The sequence below is a fragment of the Homo sapiens genome, chromosome 9 (genome assembly GCF_000001405.40).
Source record: "Homo sapiens chromosome 9, GRCh38.p14 Primary Assembly".
Taxonomy (NCBI): Eukaryota; Metazoa; Chordata; class Mammalia; order Primates; family Hominidae; genus Homo; species Homo sapiens.
In genome coordinates, this window is record NC_000009.12 from 31,964,790 (window position 1) to 31,986,343 (window position 21,554).

At 37.2% G+C, this 21,554-nt stretch overlaps 1 long non-coding RNA gene across 1 annotated transcript in view; it reads left to right on the plus strand.

Annotated features, from left to right (window-relative positions):
• The window catches only part of LOC124902137 (uncharacterized), a 137,318-nt gene extending 116,129 nt beyond the window's left edge, over positions 1-21,189 (plus strand). The window contains exon 2 of the long non-coding RNA XR_007061444.1: positions 8,226-21,189. This is a non-coding gene — a long non-coding RNA (uncharacterized LOC124902137). The remainder of the gene's footprint in view (positions 1-8,225) is intronic.
• The last annotated feature ends 365 nt before the right edge of the window (positions 21,190-21,554 follow it).

Consider the following 21,554-nt stretch of genomic DNA (forward strand, 5'->3'; position numbering starts at 1 on the left):
AAAAGGTATTTAAAATTTCTTATGGAGCCAAAAAGCCTGAATAGCCAAGACAATCCTAAGCAAAAAGAACAAAGCTGGAGGCTTCACGCTACCCAACTTCAAACTATACTACAAGGCTACAGTAACCAAAACAGCATGGTGCTGGTACAAAAACTGACACATATGCCAATAGAACATAACAGAGAACTCAGAAATAAGACCACACACCTACAACCATCTGATCTTTGTCAAACTTGACAAAACAAGCAATGGGAAAAGGACCTCCCTATTTAATAAATGGTGCTGAGAGTGCTGGCTAGCCATATGCAGAAAATTGAAACTGGACTCATTCCTTATACTACATACAAAAGTTACCCCAAGATGGATTAAAGACTTAAATGTAAAACCCAAAACTATAAAAATGCTAGAGGAATATCTAGGCAATACCATTCAGGACATAGGCACAGGCAAAGGTTTTATGATGAAAATGCCAAAAGCAATTGCAGCTATAACAAAACTTGACAAATGTGATCTAATTAAACTAAAGTGCTTCTACACAGCAAAAGAAGCTATCATCAGAGCAAAAGAGATAACCTACGAAGTGGAATAAAGTTTTTTCAACCTCTCCATCTGACAAAGATCTAATATCCAGAGTCTACAAGGAACTTAAATATATTTACAAGAAAAAAACAAACAGCCCTATTAAAAAGTGGGCAAAGGACATGAACGAACACTTCTCAAAAGAAGACATACGTGTGGCCAGCAAACATGAAAAAAAGCTCAATATCCCTGATGATTCAAGAACTGCAAATCAAAACCACAATGAGATACCATCTCATGCCAGCCAGAATGATTTTTTATTAAAAAGTCAAAACACAGCATATCCTGGTGAGGTTGCAGAGAAAAAGGAACACCTGTACACTTTTGGTGGAATCATAAATTAGTTCGAACATTGTGGAAGATGGTGTGGCAATTCCTCAAAGACCTAGAGGCAGAAATACCATTTCACAAAGCAATACCATTGCTGGCTATAACCCAAAGAAAAATAAATCATCCTGTTATAAAGACACATGCACACATATGATCATTGCTGCACTACTCACAATAGCAAAGACATAGAATTAGCCTAAATGTCCATCAATAACAGAATGGATAAAGAAAACGTGGTAAAGATATACCATGGAATACTATGCTGCCATAAAAATGAATGAGATAATGTATTTTGCAGGTACGTGAATGGAGTTGGAAGCCATTATGCTCAGCAAAGTAATGCAGAAACAGAAAACCAAACACCATGTGTCCTCACTTATAAATGGGAGCTGAATGATGAGAACACATGGACATGTGAGGAGGAACAACACACAATGGGGCCTGTCAGTTGGGGGGCAGTGGGAGAAGGGAGAGCATCAGGAAGAATAGCTAATGAATGCTGGCTAGGCTTAATATGTAGGTGATGGGATGATCTGTGCAGGAAACCACCATGGCACACACTTACCATTGTAACAAACCTGCACATCCTACACATGTACCCCTGAACTTAAGAGAAAAGTTGAATAGAAAAATAAAAGAAAGCTACTTTAATTATAAAAAGAAAGAAAGAAAGAAAGAATAAACACTGGCACAGACAAGGATGCTCTCTCACCACTTCTATTCAACATAGTATTGGAAGTCCTAGCCAGAGCAATCAGGTAAGAAAAAGAAATAAAGGGCATCCATTTAGGAAGAGAGGAAGTAAAACTATCTCTATTTGCAGATAACATGATTCTACATCTAGAAAAACCCATTGTCTTAGCCCCAAAGCTCCTCCAGCTGATAAACAACTTCAGCAAACTTCAGCAAAGTTGAGGATACAAAATCAACATACAAAAATCACTAGCATTTATATACACCAATAACAGCCATACCTAGGAATACAGCTAACCAGGGAGGTGAAAGATCTTTACAATGATAACTACAAAACATTACTTAAAGAAATCAGAGAAGACACAAACAAATGGAAAAACATCCCATAGTCATGGATAGGAAGAAATAATATCATTAAAATAGCTATACTGTCCAAAGCAATTTACAGATTCAATGTGATGCCTATCAAACTACCAAGGACATTTTTCACAGAACTATCAAAAAATATTTTAAAATTTGTATGGAGCCAAAAAAGAGCCTGAATAGCCAAGGCAATCCTAAGCAAAAAGAACAAAGCTGAAGGCATCATGTTACCTGACTTACAGCTTTACTACAAGGCTACAGTAACCAACACAGCATGGTGCTAGTATATAAACAGGCACATAGACCAATGAAACAGAATGGAGAGCCCAGGAATAAGGCTGCACATCTACAAGTATCTGATCTTCAACAAAGCTGACAACAATACAAGCAATGAGAACAGACTCTCTGTTTAATGAATGGTGCTGGGAGAACTGGCTAGCCATACACAGAAGATTGAAGCTGGACCCCTTCCTTACACCGTATACAAAAATCAACTCAACATGGATTAAAGACTTAAGTGTAAAACCCAAAACTATAAAAACCCTGAAAGACAACCTGGGCAACATTATCCTGGACATAGGAACAGGCAAAGATTTCATGACAAAGATGCAAAAAGCAATTGCAACAAAAGCAAAAATTAACAAGTGGGATCTAATTAAACTTAAGAGTTTCTGCACAGCAAAAGACACTATCAACAAAGTAAACAGACAGTCTACAGAATGGGAGAAAATATTTGCAAACTACCCATCTGACATAGGTCTAATATCCAGCATCTATAAGGAACTTAAATTCACAAGAGAAAAACAACCCCATTAGAAAGTGGGCAAAGAACATGAACAGCCACTTCTCAAAAGAAGACATACATGTGGCCAGCAAGCATATAATAAGCTCAATATCACTGGCCATTAGAAAAATCCAAATCAAAAAGCCAGTGAGATACCATCTTATGCCAGTCTGAATGGCTATTACTAGAAAGTCCAAAAACAACAGATGCTGGTGGAGTGGTGGAGCAAAAGGAACACTTATACACTGTTGATGGAAGTGTAAGTTAGTTCAACCATTGTGGAAAGCACTACCATTCGACCTAGCAATCCCATTACTGGGTATATACCCAGAGGAATATAAATCATTCTACCATAAAGGCCTGCATGCCAATGTTCATTGCAGCACTATTTACAATAGCAAAAACATGGAATCTACCTAAATGCCCATCGATGACTGACTGGATGAAGAAAATGTGGTACATATACACCACGAAATACTATGCAGCCATAAAAAGAATAAGATCATATCTTTTGCCGGAACACAGATGGAGCTAGAATGTATCATTCTTAGCAAACTAATGCCGGAACAGAAAACCAAATACCATATGTTCTCACCTATAAATTGGAGCTAAATGATAAGAACTTATGAACACAAAGAAAGAAACAACAGACACTAGGGTCTACTTGAGGTGGTAGGGCGGGAGGAGGGAGAGGAGCAGAAAAGACGTTTATTGGGCACCGGGCTTAATACCTGGGTGAAGAAATAATATGTACAAAAAAACCCATGACACGTGTTTACCTGTGTAACATACCTTCACATGTACCCCCAAACCTAAAATAAAAGTTTTTTGAAAAACTTTAAAAACAAACAAAAAATACCACCTTGTACACTGTAAATATATATAATTTTAGTTGTCAATTGTATCTTAATAAAACTGAAAAAAATGCAAGGGATACCATACACCATGACTCTTCAAGACTATGTAAAGATTCACTCCTCTGAGCTCTCCTAATATCCAAACTGTCATCTGTCATTAAATTTACTATTTACCTTATTGCTTTGTCTGCCACGGTAACATAAATATCTTCACAGGGAATGTGTGATATGAATGTTGTACTCCAAAACCTAGTACAAAGTTTGGTACATAGTAGGCACAAGAAAATGTTGGTTGAAATAATGCACAATTCTTTGTAAAATTTGTTTTCAGTGCTCACATTTGACTAACTTTGCACACTGCCTTTCTAATATAACAAGTGTTATTCCCAAACAGGAACCCAATGATTCCAGAGACAAATCACCTAATATGAATAGCAGCAAATATAAAGCACTTGTCAGTAAATCCCATAGTCCCATCCTGGTTGTTTTTCTTTCAGAAATGATTTTCTGACACAAAATAATCAACACCTAGTTTGCAGCTTCTTGCAGTCTAGAAGCAAATGATTCATGCTTCTTGTTATTGTATTAGTGCATGGGAAAAGCAATAAAAAATCCAAGAAGCCATAATATATTCACAACATCATAACTTTCTCTCATTACCCAGAAGTAAATGGATCATTGCTCCTGATATGTATTGATTCACACTGACAGCATTGGAATTTACATTCACTGTCACTCATAGTCCTTAGGTCAAATAACTGTCATAATCACCTTAGTGCATTTACCTATGGAACCACACTAGACTTTGTGCAAATGCTGAACACTTTGCATCATGGTGATCGTACACTTGCTTGGTCCAAGGTGTTGAGGATGGAAAGAGTCAAGACTCTTGTCTAAAGCTAGCAATTTTCCACACACTGTGCTAAGCATATTGCAATCACTATGTCATTTAATCTTCATTGAAAAAACCTGTGAAAAAATTGGTATTATTGCCATCATTTTATAGATAAGAAACACAGGCTCTGCATGGTTGATTCTAAACACCACTGCTATGAGGCATTAGATAGAAATGTCCTTCAGCACCTGCCTGGGTCTCGCACTCAGCTGCCCCTGCTGGTGCCTTGGAGGCCATTCCTAACCCTCTGCCACCTGCTAATCCCTCTGCAGAGCTCCCCAGTGTCGCTGCTATGCTACTAGAGATGCTACACATGCATAAATATAAAACCACCTCCTGACTTAAGGCATTACTCCTGAGGTAGGGGCCACAGAAGGAGCTAAAACTTAGCCTTCTCTCCCTTTTCTGTGGAAGATACTGAAATTATGATTATTATTATTTGAATGTATTATTATCTGAAATAAATAATACAAATTATTTATTATTGAATAATAAAACAAATTATTCTCTGACTTTTTCAGCCATTTTTATTCCTCATTTCTTTTCCAGTCTTGCTTCCAAGATTTGTCTGCACTCAGTATCCCCACATCTGCAACCCACATTCATCTTGAAAATCGCAGAAGACTGCTTCTGCCACACCCTGTCCTGACTCTGCTCTTCAGGTCTCCAATCATCATGTTGTAGCTAAATAAAAAAGGACTTCTTCTAGGTCCTTATTTTTCTTGCATCCTGTGCAGCGTTGGCACTACTAACCCCTTTTTTTCAATTGAAGCACTGTCTTCCCCTGGCTCCTCATCCATTCTCAGGCTGCTGCCAATGTGTTTTTTGGTCTTGCCATTTGCCATGGGAACTGTACAGTTTAGCATTTTGAACATGATGTGCTATTATGTCCTGCCCATCCTCCAGCCTCTTCTCCCAAGTCTCTGTGAGGCTGACTGTCTTCCTACTCTTCAGCCTCTGGACATTCATTTTCCCTGGAACATTTATTTAGTCTGCCTTTACCCAATTCTCTCACTCATCTCTGAATGTTCTTCTCAGCTGTTACATGCCTGGCATTTCCTCTCTTCTCTGTAATTGCTCAACAGCGAGTTATCTTCCCCAAGGAACCTTTTCCTAGTAACTGATGAGAGGTGAATTTTTATGATGCCTTCAGTATTTGCCATTTATGAATCTTCTCTACTTAACTTATCTACTTAGTATATGTTCACTCTTTGGCTTATACTGGTTATTATCCTAATATTATGTCGTGTGTACCTGTGTTATGTGCTGTCTGGGTTAGGCCATGTACATAGTGGCTTTCAGAATTTGGTGTGGCTTAAGGATTTAGTAAAGATGTGTCAGTTAGAAATTAGAGGTATTTTATGATAATAATGGTAGTGATTTATTGTGAGTAACAAGTATTCTACTCAGTTGACAAGAAGGCTGTTTATATAAAATTCTCATATGAATATGAGCCCAATTTTTGAGGCATGGTCATGGTAAAAATAAAGATGCTTTTACTTAAAGTGGAACAGGGACATTGATATAATTTTACAACTTCCTTTCCTAATTCAGTAGCAGGAGTTCCATGATGAAAATAGCAGAGTGGGCCCATAGTTGCTAGCCTTAGAAGCACTCATGAAGAAAATTTTACATTTCTTACTTCTTAATGTGCTCTCTCACTCTCTCTCTCTCTAGTTCTTTTTGAGTTTTAAATTTTACTTTATTTATTTCCTTTTAAAAATTTTTTTATTTTATTATTATTATACTTTAAGTTTTAGGGTACATGTGCACAATGTGCAGGTTAGTTACATGTGTATACATGTGCCATGCTGGTGTGCTGCACCCATTAACTCGTCATTTAGCATTAGGTATATCTCCTAAAGTTTTTAAGTGATGGCCAGGCACAGTGGCTATAATCCCAGCACTTTGGGAGGCTAAGGCAGGCAGATCACTTGAGGTCAGGTGTTCGAGACCAGCCTGGCCAATATGGTGAAACCCAGTCTCTACTAAAAATATAAAAAATTAGCTGGGTGTGGTGGTGCATGCCTGTAGTTCCAGCTACTAGAGAGGCTCAGGTGGGAGAATCACTTGAACTTGGGAGGCGGAGGTTACAGCGAGCCAAGATCATTCCACCGCACTCCAGCCTGGGCTCAAATAATAATAATAATAATAGTAGTAGTAATAACATATAATTTTAAGTGATACTACTTTTTCCTTTGTTATAGTCCAGTAGCTCAGAATTTTAAAAAATACAAAAGAGAGCACAGTGAAAAGTCTCCCTCCCCCTCCAGCCCAAAGCCACTGTCACTTACTCCCCCTCTTCAGAGACAACCAATCTTCCTAATTTCTAGGTGTCTTCCTAGATATTTTATGCACATGCAAATGATTGAACTCTCTAAGGTCTTTACAGAAGCCAGGATCTCTTTGGAAGCCACTAATCAATTTTCTCTTTATATATTTATGTGTTCTTTGTTCTTCTTAACCTCTCCCTCCCACTACTGCCAGAGGCACACATGGAGTCATACTGCAGCTCTTCAGGAACTCCTATGAGGCTCTGCCTCTTAAACATCTCTTCTACACCTACTTGCTCAGCTTTGGTGACTTCAATTTTCCTTCTTCTGAGACTAACCCCTTTGGAGTATTCTTTCTTTGGATTTGGGGGTTGGCTCTTGATTTTGCCCTTGGTCCCTAGTTGCCTTTTGCATCTCTCTTGGCTCCAGGCTCTGTAGATAACAGGCAGCCCTGACCCTCCTCCATGCCCAGCTCTGATCCTGAATCTCCTTTCTGCATCCAGCACCCTACATAATCACTTCACCAAGAAAAGACTTCAGGCCTTAAATGCTGTTATGAACTGAATCATGTCCTCTCCATATTGCATATGTTAAAGCTCTAATTTCTGGTATGATGATATTTGAAGATAGGACCTTTGAGAGAAAATTTGGGTTAGATTAGGTCATGCGGGGTGAAGCTCTCATGATAAAATTAGTGGCTTTATTAGAAGAAGAAGGAAAAGAAATCTCCTTTTAAGAGATCACATGCTGAGGAAAGATCATATGAAGATATAGCAAGAGTGGCTTCTGCAAGCCAGGAGGAGAACCCTCACCAGGAACTGAAGCTGCTGGAACCTTGATCTTGGACTTCCAGCCCCAGAACTTTGAGAAGTAAATATATATTGTTGAGGCCACCAATCTATGGTATTTTGTTATGGCAGCCAAGCAGAACAAATGCCAAGGTCAGCTGGTCTTGAAAATACCATCAAGCATACCACCTTTCTTTCTTCCCTTTTGGAAAACATGGGCTTCCTTCTCCTCCCATCCCATGCCCTTGGATATCCTGTTTCCTTTTATTTTCTTACTTGTTTATGCCTAGTCATCATCAGAAATTTCAACCCAGCTGAGCTAATGAATTGATGCTCCTTTTGCATGTACAGAGCTAATGAGGCACAGGCAACAGGTAGAAACATGTTAGTTTCTTTCCTCTGTGCAAAGAAGCCTCTATATTCTTATCCAATTATTGACTAGCAAACCCCTGTTACCTCTATCAGAAACAGAAGCTTCCCTGGTCACATAAACAGTGTGACATGTCAGCAGCACTGAGCTATGTCTCAAGATTCTTTTCCTGCCAGCATGTAGGAGAAGATACCCCAAAGACCATGCTACTCCAAATAGCTGATGAAATGTGCAGTGCTGCACTAGCAGAAATCTGATTTTGTGAGGAATAAACTCTGGTTGTATGCTTTCAGGTTGAACTCTTTTGTGTCAACTAAAAGAACATATGAACATAGCAGGGCTGTCAAGATAAGGCCACAAGCTTGCCGAGTTGGGGACCTTTGAAATACAAGTAAGTTGGTGATAGTAAATCAGTGCTTTCCAGGCAAATAATAATTTTAAGTAAGTAGTAGGAAAGTGAAACTGCTTATGTCTTCCATGCAGTGAATTAAGCTGACTACTGTTAAAATACTCTTGTAATACAGTCATACATTATTGGCTATTTCTCACTATAAAAATGATAATTCATTTTGATATATCATTATTAAAATGCGTCTCTTTTGTTTTTCTGTTTGTTACAATGGATGCATGGTTGCTTTGAATTTTCCAGTTCTTACTGCCATAGAACATGAAGATGCCTGGGAATTACAATATCCAACCATTTAATTATGTGATGTCATAAGAAAATGGCTTTATTTTTATTTGTAGGACTGTGGAATCAGTACCTTGTATTTATGGGTTTTTAAATCTAAAGGCTTATTAGAAAGCTAACAATGGACCAGTTAACTTACTCATTATCAGTTGCACATGATAGCTATACTGAGTGACTTTGAAGAAAGCTTGTGTTTTCAACAGAATACATTCTACTGTAAAAATTCTGTCTGTAAATGACACTTGCCAAGATAATTGCTAATTGTAACTCATCAAAATATGTGTCTGGTTCAAGAGCAACATGTTTATTACTCCGTATATATTTATTATTTCTGTTGAAGCCATCCTAGAGGGGCCCTCAACATTATTGCTTCTGCGTACAATAGAACTTGACATGTAAAATTAATCCCTTAAAGATATATATAAATGAATAACTAAAGCTGCATATAGGTGGATTGGGACTGGTGATTGAAATGTATCTGTTATAATTTAGTTAAGATTTAGTCACTATCTTAAGGATAACATGTTTGGCCGTGAGTAAAACAAGGTAGTGTGAAATAAAACAGTAGGTCAGACTTGTTTCCTCCTTTCTTTCTACCCATTCTCACATTTGTCTCATCTTATATTTAACTAATTTTCCAGAACAAATATAAAGGGTATGAATGACTCTAACTCTGAAGAGAGAGAAAAGCCAGAGCAATGATTACACCTGCCCTTCTCACTTTTAGCTCTTAGCACATTTATCTTGTATTGGACACATTTTCAAAAACTTATATGTTGGGCTCATGCCTGTAATCCCAGCACTTTGGAAGGCCAAGGTGGACAGAATTGCTTTAGCTCAAGAATTTGAAACTAGCTTGGGCAGCATGGTGAAATCCCATCTCTATAAAAAAATTTTGAAAATTAGCTGAGCATGGTGGTATGCACCTATAGTCACAGCTACTGGGGAGACTGAGGTGGGAGGATCGCTTGAGCCTGAGAGGTCGAGGCTGCAGTGAGCCATGATCACACCACTGCACTGCAGCCTGAGTGATGTGAGTGAGACCCTGTCTCAAAAAAATTTTAAAAAGCACATGTTCACCATTATCAAAGTAAAATTAAAGGTCAAAGTTAGGTACTTATTTGTTTACCTAGTACCCACTAATAAAAACCAATAATAAAAGTGTAAACTAAATTGGGCCATGAACCATCAGATCCTTTTGGACTTCATTGGGGAAAACACCAGGATCAGATCCAGTGATAGTTTAGGTGTGAATGTAGCTAACTCCTCCAAATTTGAAAATTAAGGTAGTAAGATTCTTTTTACTGGTTAGTATCAAAATTAATTGCTATAAAATGTTCAGCCATGATCAAGGTTTGTATAACAGTAAAATATACAAATATTTTGGTGATTCTATCAACTTCCTGACACATATAATCAAATATTGTCTATGTTATATTATTGCCTGAAAAAGTGTAAACAAAGGTCTGCTTCCTAAGAGTTTGGTCATAGTTACTTTAAATCATGAGCTGGATATTAGTGAGACATAATAATCTTAATCAGCAAATATCTACTGGGTACCTTCAATGTGCAAGTCACTCTAGTAGACATTAGAGGGGAAAGGCACATGAAGCACCACTTGCACTAAAAGGTTTGATATCCAGATGGAGATATCACATGTGATGTGCCCATTGCTTCTGATAACTCACAATATCCTCAAAGTAGAGATCAACCAAAAACAGAAAAAACTATTTGCTGAATCATTCTGAGAGCCCAATTGAGGTGGAAAACCTGAAAGTGATACAATGGCATTCTATTTTGTAATTTTATTCAAAATTACTTAGCAGTCCAAGTATCACTGTATAGAAAGATTAGGAAAAAAGGGAAAGGTCAAAGGACCAGATATGTAGGAATATACACATATATTTTTTCCAATGGGTATGTGTACATATATACAGACATAGATATACATATATATACACACATATACATATCATAGTGAAAGTAAAGGAATAACAGACCTATAGATTAAATAAAGTATCTTAATTTCTTCATTTATCCATAAAAAAAGAAAAATGAATTTGCTACATAACTAGCCAGATTTTATAAAGATATCTTTATTACTAACTTTTTAAAATTTCTATAGGTATAAAAACATAATAATCCCCTACTAAAGAACCAGGTAATTTTGGAAAGAATGTGGAAATAAGGGTTTTTCTCCTTTCCTCTCTCATTTGCCTGATGCAAGATTTAAGCCAGGTTTCTCAGAGTGGTCCATTTTCTTATCTGTGAGATGGGAAAAAGTGGACCTTTGCTTCCTCATTCAGAGCAATTTCCGAGAATATTTGACGTAACTATTTGAAAACATCTTGTAACTTATGTAAATGTAAGACATTTCTCTTTCTGCTGTAATTTTCCATGCAGCAGAAATCTCTTTGTGTTTACTCATTTACAAAAATAATTCAATAATTATCTTAACACAGGTTTAAAATGCATATAAATTCTACTCGTAGGTATCCAGGAGAAATTAAAACATATCCACGCACACACACAAAAAATTGTACACAAATTACCATAGCAGCGTTGTTTATAATAGCCAAACAGTAGAAACAACTCTAATTTCCGTCTGAGGAACAAACAAAAGGTGTTATATCCATATAGTAGATTGTTATTCATTTATAACAAAGAATGAAGCACAACATGGATTAACCTTGAAAACAATATATATTAAGATAAATAATTCAGTCAAAAAGACCCTATATTGTATGATTTCATTTATATAAAATGTCTACTAGAATAGACAAATCCTTAGAGACAGAAATTAGGTTAGTGATTGCATAGGATTGGGGTGCAATGGAGGAGAATGGAGAATGACTGCTAATAGGTATGGAGTTTCTTTTTGGGGTGATGAAATTAGGGGTGATAGTTACATGAGTCTGTTAAAAATACTAAAATCCATTTAATTGCACACTGTAAATGGGTGAATTTTATGGTATGTGAATTATTTCTCTTAATAAAAATGTACAAATCACCACTTCAAAAATATTATAAAAATAGTGCTAATTATTTATTAGCCTGAAGGATAATACATCCAGCAATGTATCAAAAAGTACTTTACCTGAGCAGATTTAGCTGTTACATTTGCATTTGAATTTCAAAACCCATTATCTTAAATGCAGAGAGAAGCCAGAGAACTCAGATAGGTTTGCTCTATCATTAGGCAATATTGGAAAGAACCATTCCTGCACTATTGAGTCTATATTTTCTTACTCTTTCTCAATAATTTTAAGAATTAATTACTTTGGTTTCCAGTCTCTAAGTAGCCTTTAAAGGCTCACATTTCTCAGGTTTTCATGCTCCCAAAGGTTGATTTTGATAGGGTCTTTGTTACTGTGGATGCTTTGTTATAAAGATCAAAGCAGTTTAAACCATGTTAATAGGATCAATCTAAAATGTGGACTAAGATGTTAATATTAACAGAGCAAGTCCTAGTGAATGGGATAACTATAATAATAGTAGTACTAAAGCATGCCAGGCACTTATTATTTTATGTCCATTTAAAAAATAAGAACAAAGAGACCTAGGCAAAGAGAGGATGCCTGCTTTGCCCAAAGACCAAATTGGGTTTCAAGTTCAGGCCCTCAAAATCTGAGCTTTTAGTCATTACACTAAACAAGTAAGAAAGAGTTCCTTCCTCAAAATAACTCCTTTGTAGATGGGGATAGATAATGTTCCCATCTAGTAGAAGAAAGGAGAAAAATTCAATGAAGAGCCATATTAGGTGTTGAAATAACCAACATTTTTAAATCATTTTTACAATTTTTGAGGGACTTTCAATTATGACCTCACTTGATTTTTTGACATCTGTTCTGCACATTCCAAAAGCACTTAAGGCTTATTCACTGCCACAAAATAGCTTACCTCTGTAATACTAAGTAACATGATCAGCATCTTCATCTTAACAGCATTCTCCTTGGGAACATAAACACAACACTACTGAAAGTAACACAAGTGAATTTTACTCCAGCTTACATTTTAGTTCTTAGATCTCTGAGCTCTCCACTTATATTCTGTTATCTACTGCTTTTCTCTGTGACCTACAGTGTGGATTTGAAGATGACTGGCCAATGCATTGGGAATGAGACATGTCAGAGTCAAGTAAATAAAATAACAGAAGAGAACAAAAGTAGGAAGACAATATGCCCAGTAAGTTAAAAAGTCAAAGATTTTGCAATGAGCATAAACAGAGCCCTCAGGGGATGTGGCTTAGCAAAGAGAAAACAAATAACAAGGCACAGTCCATGGGAGACTGGACCAACATCTAGACATGACACTGTGGACACAGAATGTAGACTTCTGACTGGATTTAGAATTACCAATTGCGTGATCATTAAATTTATGAGTCAATTTTGCTGGGCTAGGATACCCTGTTGTTTAGTCAAACACTAGTCTAGATGTTGCTGGGGAAAATATTTTTAGATGTGATTTGCATTTAAGTCAGTAGACCTGGAGTAAAGCAGATTACTCTTTATAATGTGGATGGATCCTATCCAATCAGTTGAAGGCCTTAAAAGCAAAGACTGAAATTTCCCAGAAAAAAAAAAAATCTCCTCAAGATTGAACATAGAAACTTTGCCTGAGTTTCCAGCCTACAACCCTGAAGAATTAGACTCAAGGCCTCAACATCAACTCTTTACTAAATTTCCAGGCTGTCAATCTGCCTATGGATTTTAGACTTGCCAGCCCCCATAATCACAGAAGCCAATTTCTTAAAGCAATCTGAGTGTGTCTCTGTCTCATTATTTCTCTCAATATAGAGATGGATATAGACATATAAATGTATCCTATTGGTTTCATTTCTCTGGAAAACCTTAATTAATACAATTTATCAACCTCATAATTTCATGTATGTTATTTAACTTTCCTGAGACTTACTTTCCCCATTTTACAATAGGCAAATAATACTTAATTTACATAGGATGGCGACAAGCACCCTACTTGTGCCTAGCACAAGTAATAATCAATAAATAATAGCTGTTATTACTTTTTTATTGTGTTTATTTAAGGTATATAGCATGATGTTATGGGATACCAATATGGTGCATGATATTCTCTGGCAATTCTGGGCACTGGCAATGAACTTCAGCCCCCAGTCAGGCACATAATCATGAGTAGCAGTACACTGATACTCTACAATATACTGTGTTACCAGGTTAGTATTTTTGGCATTGTGCTTTGTGTTTTCACATCCCATCATGTCTACAAAATGCTTATCCGTGTCTAGGTTTATGTAAGTGTTCTGAGCACATTTAAGATGTGGCTAGGCTAAACTATGATGTTCTGTAGGATATGTGTACAAAATGCATTTTTGACTTATGACATTTTCAACTTAAAATAAGTTTATTGAAATGTAACCCCATTGTAAGTCAAGGATCATCTGTATAATCATCCCACTCTCTTTTGATTACCATTTTCATGGTTTCTTTTGATTACCATTTTCATCTTTCTACAACCTTCACTTTCAGCCTAGTTGTGTCCTAAAAGCTTAAGTGAGTCTCTTGTAGGCAGAATATGATTGAATCTTTTTCTTTATGCATTCAGCCACTATCTTGATTGGATAATTTAATCTAATTACATTCAAGTTTATTATTGATAGGTAAGGACTTACTACTGCCATTTTATTATTTCTTTTCTAGTTATTTTGTATCTCCTTTATTTCTTTCTTCCTCTTTTGTCTACCTTTGTGATTTGAAAATTTTCTGTAGTGCCAAGTTTTGATTCCTTTCTTTTTATCGTTTGTATATTGGCTGTAGTTTTTTGTTTTGTGGTTGCCATAAGACTTATATAAAACATCCTATAGTTACAATCAACAATTTTAAGTTGATTATTAACCTCTATTATATGCAAAACTGTAAACATTTTACACTTCCTTCACAATTTATGTTTTTGACGTCACAATTTACATTATTTTACATTGTGCATTCCTTCACAACTTATTGTAGCTTTAATTATGTATGACCATTTTAACTTTCAACCTTCATGCTAGAGATACGTATGATTTATACACAACCATTATAGTATTGGAGTACTCTGGATTTGACTATGGATTTAACTCTGCTAGTGAGTTTTACACTTTCATATGTGTTCATGAGAGTAATTACCATCCTTTCATTTCTACCTGAATAACTCCCTTAAGTATTTCTTGTAGGGCAGGTCTATTGGCATTAAATTCCTTTAGCTTTTGTTTGTCTGGGGAAGACTTTATTATCCATTTTAGACGGAAAACTTTGCTGATATAGTATTCTTGACTGACGGGTTTTTTTGTTTGTTTGTTTGGCACTTTGAACATATCATCTTATTCTCTTCTAGCCTGCAAGGTTTCTACTGAGCAATCTGCTGACAGTCTAATGTGGATTCCTTCATATGTGACTTGCTGCTTTTAAAGTTATCTCTTTGTCTTTGGCTTTTCAAGTTTAATTATAATGTTCTTTGGAGAGTACCTCTATGAGTCATATCTTTTGGGGAACCTTTGAGATTAATGGATCTGGATGTCCATATCTCTCCAAAAACTTAGGAAGTTTACAGCAATTATTTTATTAAATAAGCTTTTTGTTCCTTCCTCTGTCTTTTCTTCTTGTTAAATTTTAATAATGAAAATGTTATCTTAAAGCCGCCCACACTTCTCATAAGCCATCTTCACTCTTTTTCATCTTTTTTCTTGTTGAGTCATGTCAAAAGACCTATCTTTGAGTTCACAGATTATTTCTATGATCTAGTCTGATGTAGTCTGCTGTCAAAGCTCTCTACGATATTTTTCATTTCATTGATTGAATTCTTCATCTCCAAGATTTCTGTTTGGTTCTCTTTTATGGTTTCTATCTCTTCATTGAATAACTCATTCAGATAGCAAATTATTTTCCTGGTTTCATCAAATTATCTGTCTGTATTTTCTTGTATCTCACTGAATTCCCTTAAGAATTACATTAAATTGTTGGGGTGGGAGGGCAATTTATAAATTTCCATTTCTTTGTGGTCAGTTACTGAAGAGCTATCGTGTACCTTCAATGATGTCATGTTTCCTTACTTTTTCATGTTTTTTGTGTTTTGCATGGGTATCTCACAGTGTTGGCACTTCTTCCAAATTTTATAAAGTGGCTTTCATAGAGGAAGACTTCCACCTGCAGATGGGCCTGTGGGCCTGAAGGTGCCAATTGGTCAGGGTACAGTGGCTCTGGTTCTGTGTGGGCACAATGGTATAGTCTCAATGTAGCTTCTTCAGTTATAATCAATGTCAATGAATTATGAGTGTCTCAGTTGTCTAGGCTGCAGGAATTTGTGGCAGTGGTATTGGCTGTGTAGGTTATCAAAGCAAGGGATTTAGGGATCCTCCTGTTCTTGCCTTCCCTATAGCAAAGTATCTTAACTGAGGGAATTTTTCTTGTTGTCATGTCTGACACAACCCACAAACAGCTGCATTGGCAAAAGGATTCAGGTCATAGGTGCTCTGAGCAGCTATAGAGTTGGGTTCCTGGGCTCAGGGTCTTGTGAAACTATTGTAGCACCTAGGACTTAAGGTACAGGTTCACTTTCCAAGACAGAAATGGATGTAATTCTCCCACTAAGCTGTGGTCTATTGCACTGAGCAAACCCAAGCAGTTAGACCCCAGGGGTCTAAGATGTAGGTGTGGTTCTGACCCTGGAAGGCAGGGCAAAGCCTTGACCCAGCTCTGAGGAACAAGGTATGATGTTCTGGATGCTCAGGCTTTGAGGAGGAGGTTCTCAGCTGCTATTTAGAACCCAAACCAGGGCATAGCAGCCAGTGCTCCAGGTGATGACATATTGCACAATGGTAACTATGGATCTTGGGGTGGTAGGATATGGCAGTGGCCCAGGGTCTATGAGGCCAGGTGCAGTAGCAGCAAGGACCCAGGAATGTCAAGGCACTACTGTGGCTTGATCCCTGGTGGGAGGGAAGCAGCACACCAATAACTACCTTCTCCACGGAAGTAAGGCATCTCAGCAGCTCAGACTGCAAGGGGCTAGCCCAATTGTAAATAAGCAGGATACTGTGGCTATTCAGCCTGGAGGATCTGGTGGCACAGCACAACCAAGACTCTGATTCCCTGGGATGCAAGGCACTATGTCTGATCAGCCCCGCAGAGTGTGGCTACATGGGTCAGCATATCCTCCAGACCCTTGGAATATGGTACACCTCATCAGCTGTGGCACTAAGGGGTACAGCTACTCTAGTGTGCCAGGGGCTTGAAGCCGCCAGAGGACAAGATGCTGCCTCATCCATGGTGCTGGGAGAAGAGGTTTTACTACTCTGGTATGCTGGAAGCCTGGGAACCCCAAGAAGGAGGGCACTGTCTTGACTGTAGTATGAGGTGCACAACTACTCTGGTGTACGGGTGGCCTGAGGATCCTAGGGGCAGGACACAACTTCAGCTCATCTCTAAGGAGAGGGCTACATCAGCAACTAGAATGGGGGGGATGGAGCAGCTCTGTTATAGCTTGGCCCTAGTGGGGCAGGAAATAGCAATGGCTCTGCTAGGGGATGGCAAGCTACAGAGTGGGCATGTCACAATGGCAGCAAAGCCTCAGGGATGGACATGGGCAATGGCTACTCCTGAAGCAGGATGTTCTAGTTCCAAGACGGCACATCACAGTAGTGGCAGAGGCCTTGGAGGGACAGAGCAGTACATTGGCTTCTTCTCTGGGGTATCTCAATGTGTGGATTCTGGGGAGCTTCCTTAGCTGGGCTTAGAGCCTGTGAGGACTGCGGGAATATTTGCTAGCAAAAACTAAAGGTGTTCACAGTGGTGATGGGAGCTGTTGGGATTCTCTTGCTTACCTTTTTATGTAGGAAAGAATCCCTCCTGCTTCCAAGCTGATCCCAGCTGGGCAGGTGGGGTGGCAGAGACAAAGTGTTTTCTTCCCTTTCCTATGTGGCCAGCCTGGGGCTAGGCTCCAGTAGATTTTTGCTACTTTTTGCTGTTCTTTGGAGCTCTCCTTTAGTTATGTTGATCAAAATGTAAGTTTTTATTTGTTATTTTGTTTTTTTTGTGGGAGGAAAAGGTACTAGAAGCTTCTAGTCAACCACTTTGCTGATGCCCTCTAATTTTGCCTGTGAAGGATCATTTGAAACTATCACAGTGGTTTTAAGGATAAAGTAATTACTTAAGAAGCACTTACTCCATACCTACAGCAGACTTGAATCTTGGTCAAACACTGTTATTATTGTAATGTAACTAAATAGTGCTTTGGTGATTTATTCAGGTGAGCTTTTTTCTCAGGTGGTGAAAACTAGAAGGACATTTTCAGTATTTTAAAACTCCATTTATTTTAGTTCACTTTAATTTTCATTTCACTTTATTAGTTTAGTTCACTTTAATTCTGCCTCCACATCTGTAGATTCCACATTTGCAGATTTGACCAAGCATGAGTCAAAAATATTTTTAAAAAGAATAAAAAATAACACTAATAAAAGAATATAGTATAACAGCCATTTACATAGCATTTACAATAATTAGCTATGATAAGTAATCTAGATATGATTTAAAGTATACAGGAAGTTGTTCATAGGTTATATGCAAATACTATGCCATTTTGTAGAAGGCACTTCGGCATCTGCAAATTTTGGTATCCACAGGGTGTCCTGGAATGAATATTTTGTGGATACTGAGGGACAACTGTACATATGTCTTCACAGACTAAAAGATAAGGCAGAAATAGATCCAAGCTAATAAATCTGTTAGTTATACATATAATTCTTTGAGAAGAAAAAAGGGAGTAATTCATTCTTTGAGAATTCAGAAGGTAGAGTAGAGGTAAAGAAGTGTTAGAAAAAGCTGCAGAAAAGAGGCAAAATTTGATCTGGATTTTAAGAGAAGAGCTAGAGAGGACAGGGCAACCTGCAGGGCAGAAGGCGGGCATAATGGTGGCGTGCATGAGTAGGAGGGTTTTCTTGGTAGAAAACAGTATTCTCCGATCACTGTTAACAGGCCCAGTGACAGGGTAGCTTCATCCTCTTGCTAATTAAAAGTGCATCTCGTGCTCACGTTCCAGACTCATCAACAGGAAGAAAACAAGAGGCTTAGGTGAGGGCCTAAGTGTCCATGGAATTCATAAGAGGAGGGCAGCTAATATTTTACCTTTCATTTGGTCCAAGTTGTCAGACTGAAGTACCTGGAAGATTAGACATGTTAGGGATATTTAGGCAAACAAGAGCCTAGGGCTTCAGCAATCATCAAATTCTCTTCTGTGGACTTGGGGAGTGACAGCAGGTACCCAGGTTAATAAAGACCACAAAAAGAATGCTGGAGGTATTATTAAGCTTCCCCAGAAGGCGGTTTGAAACAGTCAAATGCATTTCAGAGCTTCTAGAACAGAATAAAAATAAAGAGTGCTGTAATTTAAATGTTAATATCTCATCAAGTTTTATGTATGTGAGGAAAAAGAGAGGGCAGCTCCATAGTCTCTTTTCCGGAAGCTGATAAGTAGCAGTAAACAGCTGGCTGCCCTCAATTCAAACATTTTATGCTGCCTTTGTGATCCATCTTCTCTACCATGTGGTAACATCAAATTAGAAGAGGCAGGCTTGAGAGCTTTTTATTCTGAGGCCAGATCACAGCATGTGAAGAAACATAGTTCTGTAAAAGAATAGTGCTTCTCCAGCACCCAGGGCTGCTCATCTAGTGAGACAGGATGAGGTTATCTTGGTGTTTCCTGGCAACACGTGATGCAGTGAAGCTGTTACTCAGGATAGAACCACCCCATCAGTGTGTATTAATTAAATGCTCAGGTAACTATGGAGGCATGTCAACATGCTTCTCAAAGAGCATTTTAAGAGCAACAATTATGGTAGAGCAATTAGAATGCTATTGTGTGGGCAGCAAGAAAGCACTAAAGCCCACATTAAAATTTGATCACATCATATTAGAACCACATGTAGGATGTCAATGAATGTTTTGAAGAGTGTATTGGGGGTGGGGGATTACTACTGTTAATCACGCTGCATGTGTGAACAATATGTGTGAACTAGCATTACTAGTGATATCACTGGGATTACTATTACTTCTTTGTAAGGGATTAGTTTCTGCCAAGAACAGTTCTAGGCATTTTACTTCATTGAACCTTCACAGGACTGAGATGTAAACTATATTGCCAATACTATTATTTGCCACATTTTTCAGATGAGGGAACTCAGATATTAAGATGTTAAGAATATCCAAGGTCATGCAGCTAATTAATGGTGGAGTTAGAATTTGAACCTAGGCCATCTGGCCTAAGAGTCTAAACTGTGACTACTAAGCCCTGTGTTTTCTTTCCCAGGCAGGAGAGGAAGAGGCCATTTATCATGTGTATAAGGAGAGAAATGTCTATTCTTTTACCTCCTCTAAATATTCCCCAAAACGTATCTGCTACCTAATTTCTGATGTTAATGCTGCTTTAATAAAAGACAAAATATCTTATTTCATAAGCAAAACTAAACCTCAGGGAATATTTGCATAGTGACTAAATATAGACTAACATGTAAACAACCAATGGAGAATTGGATATCTGAGAGGATTTTCTTGGACACTAAACACCAGTATTGAGAAAGTAGCAGGTAACAGGGCTGGAATTAGCAAAGACACACTTATTGCTTAATTTTCAATATTGTCTGGGTCAGTGACGCATGCTCTTAAAATATTCTGCTCTATTTTTGCATTGTTTATATTATGCTACAAGGCTTCCTGTATGCATGTACAGCAATGCTTTGTAGGCATAAAGTGCAACACCTTTTCCCACCAGTGGATTATTAGGGTAAGCAATATGAATGTTTTGACTCTTATGGAGAAGTGTCAAATGATGCAGCCCAAATCACCTTTTCATGTATAATCATCTCTGTTTCTGAGCTCCTATTACATGTATGTTTTATATAAATCATACTGGCACTTAATCATTTATTATTTTGAATTATAATATTATTATTTTATGTTTACATGTCTTCTTCTCCAAGTCTAAGAGGCTAGAGTGTGTATTACAGTTTTTCATATTCTTTTCTCTGTTTAGAGAAGCTTTTTATTCAATGCAATGATTCAATGAATATTTGTTAAGATAATATTACAAAATTTCTTATTCAATCTATTGAGGATTTTTACTTTATTTGTCACATTTTCATATGTTGAACTCTTACTGAATTCTCAAAGTCATGTTTTCTGGAAAAGCTTGTAGAACAAGGGTATGATTTGGTTTTGCCAATGTTTAAAAGAAAGCACCACTAAATCTGCCCATTTTAGGTATTTTGAAGGCAGAGGGAACAGATTTTATAGAATATTTTCATTTTTCTACTAAATGATTAATCTACTGAGATTGTCTACTTCTTCAGTCAATATTGATGCTTTATATTGTTTTATTAAGACTTTTTAGTTTATAAAACTATGTTTGAAATTGAGAGAGACATACTGATATTTTGGTTGACTTTCTATATATTATTATGTTTATTATTTTTAATTTTATGTTTGTGCTTTTCCTTTTATATATTTAATGATTTTGTATTATTTACATTGATTAAAAGTATTAAAACATGTTTATTAATTCAACTGTTCTATAATTTCTTATCTTCAATTATGTTTTATTTCACCTCCTGTTCTCTTTTTATTATTGTTTTTGTTGTATGTGTTTTTTATGTTTGGGGTTGGGGTGGTAGATCAGAGTTCCTTTTCCTACATGTTAAATTTTGGTATATTAGTGGAAATCTCCCCAGTTGTTCAGGACTCCCTGAAGTTACCAGAGTAAATAGGATGTTTTTCAAAAGAAAATATTTATTAGAATTAAAAGGGCATTTTTGCTAAAAATCCATACTGTAGCTGCTCCCCACATTCCATTACCCAAAGATGCACTGAAATGTGATTATCTTTACTTTCCAACATGATCTTACTTGGTCCATTATGTGCTTTTCTTTTTT